The 12498-nt window shown below is 35.6% G+C and overlaps 1 protein-coding gene across 10 annotated transcripts in view; it reads right to left on the reverse strand.

Moving 5' to 3' along the window:
* NETO1 (neuropilin and tolloid like 1) overlaps positions 1-12498 on the reverse strand; it is a 125674-nt gene that overhangs the window by 10845 nt on the left and 102331 nt on the right. For all 10 annotated transcript variants that reach the window (NR_148694.2, NR_148695.2, NM_001201465.3 and 7 more), the window contains one exon: positions 2876-2989. Coding sequence is in view for 8 of the 10 variants with exons in the window: in NM_001201465.3 (NP_001188394.2) it covers positions 2876-2989 (114 nt within the window). In the remaining 2 variants the exon portion in view is untranslated. The remainder of the gene's footprint in view (positions 1-2875; positions 2990-12498) is intronic.

The following is a 12498-nucleotide window of genomic DNA, read 5'->3' on the forward strand; positions in this document are numbered from 1 at the left end:
AAGTTCAACAAATTCCAAGTAGGATAAATGCAAAGAGATCCACACAAAGGCATATGATATTGAAAACATTAAAATAAATAAATAAAACACCTTGAAAGCAACAGAGGAAAAAAAAAACTCATCATAGAAAGGAGCCTCAATCAAATTAACACCTGAGTTATCATCAGTGGAGGCCAGAAGGCAACATGATGACACATGCAGTGCTGCAAGCAAAAGCAATACAAAATAAAACCAAACAACAGCAACAACAAAACCCCAGCAGATACCTGTCAACCAAAAACCCATTATCCAGCAAACCTGCCTTCACAAATGAAAGACATTGTGAGACTGGCAAAAATGAAGATAATTCAATGATAAAAGAGCTTCCTTAAAATAAATATGGAAGAGAGTTCATGTTGAAAACCAGTGAGTTCAGACAGTAACTCAAATCCACATGAAAAAATTGAACAGATACTAAATTAAACAGGGAAGCAAGTAAGGTCTGTAACAGTGAATATGTAAATAATTGCAAAGGACAGTAGAGTGGCATCTTTCTTCTGCAGTCTTCACTTAACTCTTTTAAAAAAGCAATGTTCTATGTATATAATCGTAATGTTGGACTATAGCTTACATAAATGCAATATATTTGGTGACAATATAGTATAAACAAGGTGGGAGCTAAAATGTTATTGGGTGAGGAAATGACACCAGGGTAATGCAAATCTAGAAAAACAAATGAAGAGAACCAGAAATAGTAAATCAGAAGGATTATATAAAAAGTTACACTAATATACTTGCTGTCCTTTCTTCTCCCAACCACTTTAAAAGACATACAGTTATATAAAGTAATAATTATTGCAATGTATTGTTGGGTATGTAACGTTTAAAAATGTAATAGGTACAAATATAATTGGAAAAAGGAAAAGAGAATAGAGCTATATAGGAAGAATGTTTCTATGTCTCACTATAATTAAGTTAGTAGAAATCTAATACATTCTGAGAAGCTAAGCTGTATGTTTTAAGTCCTAAAGCAACTAAGAAAGTAAAACAATGCATTAAAAACTCTAAAATAATTAAAATGTTGGACTAGAATATACTAACTTAAGGCAGAAGAAAGCAATAAAGAAGGAAAAGAGAAAAAATACATGAGACATTTAGAAACAAAAAGTATAATGGAATATATAAGTCCAACTATATCAATGACAGTACTAAATGTGAATGGATTAAAGAACCCAATGTAAAGGCAAAGATTTTCAGACTGGATAAAAAATAAGATACAAATATAGACTGTCTACAAAAGAAACACTTTATATTCAAACATGCAGATAGACTGAAAGTAAAAACGTGGAAAAGAAGAATGGAAACCAAACCATAAGAAAGATGTAGTGGCTATACTAATGCCAGAAAAAATATAACTCAAGACAAAAAACTGCACTAAACTCTAGAAGATTGTTTTGTAGTGATAAAAGCGTCATGAGGAAGATATAACAATTACACACATATATGAATTTAGCACCCAAGCTTAAAATTACATGAAAGAAAAATTTTACAGAAGTGAAGAGAGAAGTAGACAATTCAACCATGATAGCTGAAAAATTTAACACCCACTTTCAATAATGGATAAAACATAGCAGAAAATCAAAGGCAAACAGAAGACTTGAACAATGCTTTATAGCTTGTTTAAGTTTATAGGCTTATGCCTAGCAGACATAACAGGCATCTATACAACACTCCACTCAACAACAGCAAATACGTATTCTTTTCAAGTGCACATGGGACAAACTTTAGGCTACACTACATGCTCGCCATAGGCATAACCTCCATAAACTAGAAATGAATGCAATTTTTCCCCTATCACAAGAGAATGAATTAAAGGCTAAAGGAATCATTTTTCTTTCTGAAAAAAATAAATATGGACTTTCATAATGCACATCCATTCACATTTGTTGCATGTCAAATATTTCTTACACACATGGGACCACGTTTATATAGGGCAAAACAAAGCCAGTGGTGACCACGAATTATTAACAGGTCTGCAATAAGATCACTTAGTAAATTTCTAATCCATTCAAAAGTAATGGATTACGAAAGTAATCAACAACAAAATAGTTGATAGTGTAACTGCCTCTCCTACTGACTGTATGAAACAATGAATACTGTGGTATTACTTCTTTACTTCTATGCACAGAAGGCTTTTAGTAGATAATACTGGACTTCAAGCATGAAAGAGTTATTTGCCTATCTTCTTTTGTCAACTGTTTAATATTGGATCTCAGTAAAATACTTCACATGGCAGTTTCATCTTAACTAAAACATGCAACATCCATAATCCAGCCAACGATCCCTGTTCACATAAACAAGCCTTTGTGTATAGACAAGGGAAGGAGGCAAGGGCTTTGGGAGCTATGTTCCCGGGAAAGGAAGAAAAGCATTTTCGTAGCAAAACTGAAGTGGAGTGAAGTAGCTGGAAGTAACTGAAAGTACAAATGCTAGTTCAAGACATTTTATCTCTAGAGTATGTACACAAAGTCCAATCAAGACAAACTGGAATGAATGAGACGTGTAGCCACAAGCAGACAGCATCACACATGACAGGAAAGTAGTGTGCTCCCCTGAAAGCTCCCGTTTTCATAGCTCTGCAGGCTCTAATAAGGTGATGTCTTTAATGAGAATTCAAGTACTGAGGATAGTCCACTGTGCACTAATAACGGAACATCTGGACAGAGCATGAGTAAAGGCTAAGAAAAACGCTTACAAATCAATTATAAGACATATGCGGTGGTCATAAAAGGCACTATACACTCTTATTTTAAAGACTGTCTGATTGATACATATAAACTTCTACCCCACTCCACAGGGAGGAAATTTTTTTCAAATTTCAGGCACTAATCATTACCTTTACAGTGATTTTCATCCCAAGGATACACACAGTTCTGGAGTCCATTGCAGACCAAAGTATTATTAATACACATGTTACTATGGCAGAAGAATGTGTTGCCTTCACAAGGAGCTAAAAAGAAGAAGAACAAGACAAAGGAGGAAAGTTATAACTGACATTCAGTAGTAAATCACTCACATTACAAATCTAAAAAAAAAAGATTAGAATAATTTGCCACAAACTGAGATAAATGATCTGCCGTGCGATTTTCAGAAACGGTGCCGTAGTGGTAATTATTTCTTGTGTTACTAAGAGTGCTGGCATTCCTCTAGAGAGGCTCAGCTTGTAAAAATGCCATAGGGTATTTTCCATCATTAAAATGAAGAACATTATCCACATTTTTTTAAGTAGGCATATTTATTTAGCAAACCTGAAGCATCTACCATGGGCATAAATTATACTTTATACAGAAAGAATGTATAAATTTAGTTTTACTGTGCAAAAACACCTAATAGAAATTTTTAAATAATTTTGAAAAACATATACTTACCAAGTACTAATGAATAACATACACTAAAGCAAACCCTGTAACATTACTTAAGAATACGAAAAAACAAAATGCCATGGAAATTCAGAATCATGAAAAAATTAATCCTGAACAACATAAAAAATATATTATGCTTATTACATTTAATATATATGGTGATAAAATTAGCTTACTACGCATGTATTTCATACATTCTAGTGATTTGATGTACAATGATCATTATCTCCAGATTACAATGCACATTGAGGGGACTGAGAGGTAAAATATGAACTTCAAGAAGGTATAAAATATGGCTAAATAATGATGAGAAAACATGAGTTTAATATAGCAATGTAAAATGTTAGATATGATTTCAATATAAGGAAAAATACATTTCTTTCATTATTGGAGTGACAGAATATTTTAAGTGATCAGTCTTTATAGTAATATTGCATTGTGGATGGTTGCTTACAGAAAGTGCTTTTAAAGCTAACTTTTGTTTTTACCTTTGTATTCACTCCATGTATCAGATAAAATGCAATTCTAGTGTTTCTTTTTTTCAATAAAGGCTCTACAATCCTTTTAAGGACAGGCATTCTAGCAAAATCTATTGCACATGAAACATATGAATTTCCAATGATTGACAAATGAAGATATATTAATGATCAGTACTATTTAGACACTGCAGTCATGTTATAATGAGTTTATTTTTCACTTTCAAAACTGTATATTACATAAGTTTTAGAGTTAGCTTCTTTACTATATTTGCTACACTAACCACAACTGTCAAAACAATACTTTGCAATTTAATATACTTAAGGCAACTTACTGTATTTTAATACTCCGAGAGAAATCCTTTAAAAAAAAACACTCAAATTCTGAAAACCAAAAGTAAGGCAAAGAAATAGCTAATTCAAGCAATGTGATTCTTCCTGGTTCTTCATCCCCTACCTCCTCCCCCAACCCAAACAGTTCCCTCTCTGTTCATTTTGACTTTATGTTCCTGGTTAAAGAGTAAAAAGCATATAATAGTAATTTTGGAAAATGAAAATTAAGAGTAGAAAATATGTAGTAGTCATTTTGAAAAAAAAAGTATCACGCTTAACACTTTATTTTGCTAATGATTTGTTAAGTACTGTTCTGTATAAACCTTTCATAATGTAAAATTTAACAATCCAGTATATTATTGTAAAGACCTGCTCTTTAGTAAGCAACTAAATTTGAATTTCTGTAGCTGACTATAATGGCTTTTGCAGAATTGATAAGGTCTGTTAATTAGATAGTGAATGTTGTCAAAATTTGTATGCAGCATATAAAGGAGATTTTGGCAAAGTTTATATTAGAATGGTTGTAAAATGCTTTTGTAAAAATGCTTAAAATACTTATTACCTAACAAATTGTAGTATACGTTTTGAAAGTATAATTACCCATCAAGTAGGAAATACCTTTAAAAATTATATATTTACCGACCTTCTATGAGTTGGAAAAATTATTATAATTATTAAATAGGAAGGGGTAGTTTAAAATTTAAACATATAAATAAAAATAACATTGCATTCTGGTAATCGAGTGAAGTGCATTAGTATGTTGGTAAGAGCACTGAAATTTGAATTCCAAATAATCCAAATGGGATTGTGTCTGTTTCTGCTGCTTGGTAGTTGTGAAACTATCAATGTTCCAGGATCAGTTACTACATATTAGTGGTTTTACCAAGAATGCAATAAGTAATTCAGGAATGTCAATAAATCACATTTTAACATGCTTTTTCACATTAAATAATTATGCAAATATGCCAGTTAATTAGGAGTTAGCCTCCCTTTTGTTTGTGGTGCTTTTTTTTTCTTTGTGTGTGTGTGTGTGTGTGTGTGTGGAGGAGGGGGGTGGGGGTGTTTGTAATATCCTAGGTATTTCTCCATGTATTTTCTTCCTTACTTTTGCTAATAAAGAATTGCTGTGCAAATGAAAAATAAAAACAAGTAAGCAAATCCTGATATGGTTAAGAAGCAATGTAGAGGCTGGGCGTGGTGGCTCACGCCTGTAATCCCAGCACTTAGTGACTCTGAGGTGGGCGAATCACCTGAGGCCAGGAGCTCGAGACCAACCCGGCCAACATGGTGAAGCCCGTCCCTACTAAAAATATAAAAATTAGCTGAGCATGGTAGCACATGCCTGCAATTCCAGCTACTCGGGAGGCTCAGGCAGGAGAATCACCTGAACCTGGGAGGTGGAGGTTGCAGTGAGCCGAGATTGCGCCACTGTACTCCAGCCTGGGTCTGGGTGACAGAGAAAGACCCTATCTCAAAACAAACAAACAAAAACAAACAAACAAAAAAGTAGCAATGTATAAAATTGTACATACCTTTGGCAAAAATAAATTTTGTTTTATAGACACCCAAAGTATAATATTATATTGGGTTCCGAATTTCCTCGTTATTGTCTGAATCTCTCTCTCAGAAATGCATATATGCAATGATGCACTAAAGACTCTCATTTCTCTCCTGGTTAAGAACTACAATGGCACCAATAGACCAAATCAAGCCTACATTCTCATTGCTCTTTCGACGACTTGCGTGCACTCGGTGCACCAATGTGTGTAGCCCATTGCTCCTAGCACACTCCTGACCTATCCGGCACCGTGTCCACACACCACTCCCTCCTTCTACCTGCCCCAGATACCCCTTCTCCACTCTGCCATCCAAATCACATCGGAACCCTATAATCTATAAACCTGTCTTAAACAGTCTTACAATATTATTCCAATCTATCAGAAAACTTAGCTGTTCCTTAAGTCCTATTTCACATGTAATTTTTAAAGTTTTAAGAGTATATTTTATCATCTTTTTTGTATATATTTGAGGCTTGTGACTATGCTTTTTTAAAAATTAATGTTTATGTTTAATCGCTCATAATGGCTTAAGCTTACTAGGCTTGTAGTAAATATTCAACAGATATTTTAACTGATTAATATTACTTAGCAAAAGGTTAACTCTGACTGGGTTGCATACCTTAGTATTCCAGAGAGCAGAAGACTCTGACAAATGTGTTTATTGGTTGAGAACTAACCTTCAAGGCCATGGTCTTCCAATCAAGGCCACGGTCTCCAACGCAGCATGTAGTGGCTATGGGCAGCATGTATTCTCAGAAACTAAACTCAGCATCCTGTCTTTGCTTCTTTCACTATTTCTGACAAAGCACATATTCCTCGACCAATTTACATAAGACTTATTCTACTTACGAGATTCAATATTCATCATTTAAGCTATTGTCCCTTATAAACCAGCTGCTTTATTTCCTAGTGATTTCAAGGAAAGTCAAAATTTATTTGTAATAAAGTGGCAGCCAAAGAAGTAACAATCCAAATGCCAAGTACCTCACACAGTTTCCAGGGTCACAAGAGGGGACACGCAACTTTATACTTGTTTCTATCAGAATAGCAAATAGAGCTTCCCATTGACGTTAAAACACTAAGAACATAGATGGAACGATTTGCTATTGCTTTTTGTCACTGAACTACTTGAAATTGTATTTAGACACGAGACCCTCCAACTAACTTGATTTCACTTTATTGGGTTTATTGACATCACCATTTTATCATCCAGATCTAACGACCCAAAGAAGATGGAAATTGATTTCTATTAATGAAGCAAAATATTCTAGTCAGCCAAAATAATGTCCTGTGTATAAGCATATCATTGCTCTTGATTTAAAGCACTCACCTAGAAAGTAGACACTACAACACTTCAAAATGAACCTTTCTTCACTGTTTCCTCCTCCCACATACACCAATACATATGCATTTGTGCAAAGCATTCATTTGTGGCTGTGCAATAGACTGTAGATTAAACACAGCTCAGAGAGTACTTCTCCACACACATCAGCCTGGGATTGAAGAGTCCTGCCAACAGGACAGAGAGCCCAGCTGTGATTTGGGCTGTCAGGAGCGATAATCCTTAAGGACAGATTGCTTCCTCGTGAGCAAAAGCAGGTTTATAAGAGTGTGTGGTGTGCAGTGATTAAGTCCCTTGCATCCTGGCCACCTGGTCTCTGACTCCCAGGGTTGCCTCTTTCACACTCTTTGCCCTTGAGCTGATTAACCTGTAAGTTGCTCAGTTACCACATCTGTAAAATGGGGATAAAGATAATACTTACCCAAGCGACTTAATAATGCACAGAATGCCGTATAGTGTCAGCAGCATGAATACAAACATTACAAGACAGAATTGTAAACCGTTTTAGGAGAGTACTGTGCAGAGACTGTGGAATCAATATGCCTGATTTTCCAACGTGAGTTACGTGATCTTGAGCAAATTCACTAACTTTTTCAGTTTCTGTTTATATCTATATAATGGGGATAATTATAACTATTACATAAAATTTAAGAATTAAATGTGATAGATCTTTAAAAACCATAACAGATACTGTCATATGGTGTATGACAAAAGAATGTTACCTGTTCTTGAACTACCACCACCGTTACCAAAACAAAAGCAAATGAAACAAAACAAAAAACTTAAAATGTTAAGATGTATGACATAAAATGTTAAGATGTATGATATAAAATGTTAAGATGTATGATATAAAATGTTAAGATGTATGATATAAACGTGACTTAACTGACATTAAATTTTCTAATTTGTAAAGTGAAGAAAATCATTCACAGATCCCTTGTTAAGACTACACGAGAATGCATATTTGAAAGTCGCGTCAAGGAGTTCTCTGAAGCTAAGACCTCCTAGTTATCTTTGTACCTTGGAGAATATGCCTTTGCTACAACCAAGTCTAATATGAAATACTATGTTTCAATTCTACAAGAAAAGCAGAAAACATAAATTATGCATATTAAATAAAATACAAATACGTATTGGAATGTGTTTGTACTACTTAATAGGAGGAAGGTTTAGCTGTGTAAGATATTTAGCTGTGATACTCTTTTTTTAACAGTTTAATGAGACCATCAAGATAACAGGTATTTTCTAACATCCAATTGTTAAGAGAGACATTCAGATCCCATCTTGGAAAAGCAAGCCAGGCCATATGTAGAACAGAATAGCTCTCAACCTTGGGCTGCAATCTAAAAGAAATGTTTTTGCAGACATGTAAATGATCCGATAGAATTGAGGCTTGGATAACAGGGACAGTATCAGCTTATAATTTTAGTAACAAAATCTTCACAGTAATTTAGTAGATACATCCTGATTTTGATGTTATCTATGGGTACCTTAACTCTAATTTAAAAATTCCAATAAAATAATCTTCAGTTAACATTTATTCAAATACTTTATAATAAATTCTTTGGAAACAAAATTTAGTACAATATTTTGCTGAGGAGAGGACCTTTAAGACTAAGAAATATGGTATGTTAGTTTTGGTGAGTCTCAGGGCCTTGCACCCACTGAAAGATTCAAAGAAGTCATGAGGTAAAATATGCCTGTTTAACTTTGTTTAATCCAAATATTTCCAATCTTACTTGTTTACCACTTAAAATTTTAAAAACTAAAACTTGGCAAAGTGTTCCATTGTGTCCAGAAATCATTATAGTGATGGAATTCTTAATTCTTAAAAGAACATAGAATAGGGTGGGAGATTATTAACATGTAAAGTTGGGTAAAAAATTAGAATACACTTTTTTTTTTTTTGAGGCTGATTTTCGCTCTTGTTGCCCAGGCTGGAGTGCAATGGCGCGATCTCCACTCACCGCGACCTCTGCCTCCTGGGTTCAAGTGATACTCCTGCCTCAGCCTCCAGAGTAGCTGGGATTACAGGCATGCACCACCACGCCCGGCTAAACTGAGAATACACTTTTTAATTTATGAAAACTCACATACCAATGCACTTATGTAAATTATTTCAGAAATGCAAAAGCCAAAATGTTGGCAGTGATGATTTCTAGGATTTACTGAAATTATATTTACCTTTTTTGGAGAAATTTTCCATATATACTTTTATGTATAAGTATATGTATATATACATTAAAAACACACAAAAAAGTTTTGTAATTAAAGGATAACTCATAAGTTTGCATGAAAAAATACGAAATGTTAATCAAAAAAGTTAATTTTCTCTTTCAGATTTTTAAATCAGGAAAATAGTTTTTACATAGCACCTTTGCTTTGCTCTATTGCTTCATTACTCTTGAATTCTGTTTTTAAACCCTCATCTATTCCCATTATTACCACAAGGTGGCGAACTTACATCAGACTTCAGTGAAGGAGCTTTTGACTCCCTCATGGGGATGATTAAAATAAACCATGAAAGCATGTGCAGTAACTCCTAAACCTATACATTACTAATTCTTTAAATAAGCAAATTATGTAGCAGGGGACGACAAATCTCTTACATATTTTAGTCATGTAGGAGAAGATAAAATAAAGCCACAACACTCAAAATAAAGGTAGATTTACATAATGTATTTAATAAAGAATCATAGAACACATTGTTTTTTAATGTGAAAGGTCTAGTTATAGATGTACCTCCGATTTTAGTGTTTATCTCATGTGGATTAACACTGTTTCAATTCTGTAACTTAAAGGTTTTTAATTTATAATAGCTACTTTAATGCAGAATCCACTACGCTTATTCTATTAGATTTCGTTTTTTTTTTTGAAATCCAGAAATCTGCTAAATAATATTCAAGAAATATTAAAACACATTGAAATAAAAACAGGCAGATTTGAGACACTGATGTTTCAACTATCCATGATTTATGGTTAATAAAACTATCATTGGTAATTTGTTCAACGTCAAATAAGTCATCATATTACATCACGAAAAATTGGAAAACGAAGTGATCCTTGATCATATTCTCCTAAAGACTCATTACACCACTGGAACACATGTTCCCTGGACTTAGGGTCTGGCTCTCTTCACCTCCCCTCCCCAGTCCACTCATCTTGTTCTCTTCAGACATTCTTGCTTCTTGCTTTCCTCAAATTATTTTAACTTCTTTAATTTTGAGCTTCGTCTAAAACACCCAGCTCTGTGCTGGCCTGTGTGGGCACAGCCACAGGCTGTCTCACACACAGAGTCACACAAACTCATACACCACACACACACTCACAAACACACACACCATTCACACACACACTCACACATTCAAACACAGTCATACACACACCACACAGCCACAGTCACACCTCTAGGTCTCCTACTTCTGCTCTTTATTAATTCTTCATCATTCCCTGATCTTTAATTTGAATGGAAATGCTCACAAACACGTATGGAAAAGCAGCTGGGGGAGGAAACAGCTTGGAGTATGTATTAGTCCGTTGTCAGGCTGCTGTGAAGAAATACCCAAGACTAGCTAATTTATAAAGAAAAGAGGTTTAATTGACTCACAGTTCCACATGACTAGGGAGACCTCAGGAAACTTACAGTGTCTTCATGTTGGAAGGCAAAACAGGCACTTCTTACATGGTGGCAGGAGAGAGAAGTGACAATCAGCGAAGGGGGAAACCCCTTATAAAACCATCAGTTCTCATGAGAACTCACTATCATGAGAACAGCATGGGAGGAAACTGTCTCTATGATTCAATTATTTCCACCTGGTCCAGCCCTTGACACGTGGGGATTGTTAAAATTCAAGGTGAAATTTGGGTGGCGACACAGAGCCAAACCATATCAGAGTACATTTACATCTTCTTGCTTTATTTCTTGGGTTCAACTTTTATCAGCCTTGAATATTTACTAAAGCTTACTTTTTTAAATTAAAACTTCTAACCCTTGGGATGGTCTAGAATCTATTACTCTGTTTGGTGAGGGATGGAAGCAAAGCTTAACACTTACATGAATATGTAAATATGACACATATCAACATTCTATAGTTAGGTCATGAATTCACATTGAAGAGCAAAATCTAGCATACTTACTTTTATTTATTACTAATGTTTATCAGTTCAGGTAACTAAGGTGATTTTCCCCCTGCCTTCTCAGGCCGCTATGCTAGTGTCTTACAGACCCCTGTAGCTGAGCCCCCTGAGGCTGTCACAGGTCCCTTATTTCCTCTGTCCTCTCTCTCGGCAATTTTCATCAGACACAGAGCCCCCACTAACGAGGGGGCTTACATCCCCAGCTCTGACTACTGTGTGAGATCCAGACTTACCCTGAATATTGAAATTCCTACTTAACGTCTCCATTTGGAACTGTAATTACCATCGCAAACAGAATATGGCTGATGGGCCTAAGCAAAATGATTATCACCCTCTTCCTCTTATCCACATTTTCCTTTTTAATTCTCACCTCCCACACCTTCCTGGCATTAACAAAGGGCACAACCATCCCCTCAGGTGTTCAGGCGAAAGGCTCAAGACCATCCTTGGGTCCTTTCTTCCCCGGATACCGTTGAGCCAGTGGCCATCTCTTGCATGGCTCTATCTCAATACAAAGCTCTTGTTGAGGTCTCCACTGCTGTGAATGAGCCAGGCCACCATTCACTGACAGCAATCTTACATGGAGTTCAGGGACACAGAAACCATGGGGACCTTGGCCATCTGAAAGTATAAATCAGGCCACATTTCACTTTGTTGAAGACACCCCAAAACACTTTCCAATAATGTTAGGTTAATTTCCAAACTCCTTGTACCCCTTAGTACACAGCAAGTGATTTATATTCTCACAGCCTCTGCTCACCCTAAACATTTATAGAATTCTTCCTAACCTCAGATGTCACCCACCATAACCACCAGGTCATCCTGCCCTCATCCTTCCCACCACATCACCCATGTTGGTTTTCCCACAATACATACTAGGGCTTGGGCTGATCCCTTTGAGTTAACTTATCTGTGCCTTGTTGCTTCCTCTTAAAAAGTCTGGCAACCAGATGTACCACTTTGTAGATGCTTCATAAATACTTGGTGACAGACTATATATCACAATAAAAATTCTTTTTTTTTTTAATTGGAGATGAAGTCTCACTCTGTTGTCCAGGCTGGAGTGAAGTGGCATGATCTCAGCTCACTGCAACTTCTGCTGCCCAGGTTCAAGCAATTCTCGTGTCTCAGCCTCCCGAGTAGCTGGGATTACAGGCACCTGTCACTGTGCCTGGCTAATTTTTGTATTTTCCGTAGAGATGGGGTTTCATCATCTTGGCCAGGATGGTCTTGAACTTCTGGCCTCATGA

The sequence above is a fragment of the Homo sapiens genome, chromosome 18 (assembly GCF_000001405.40).
Source record: "Homo sapiens chromosome 18, GRCh38.p14 Primary Assembly".
Lineage (NCBI taxonomy): Eukaryota > Metazoa > Chordata > Mammalia > Primates > Hominidae > Homo > Homo sapiens.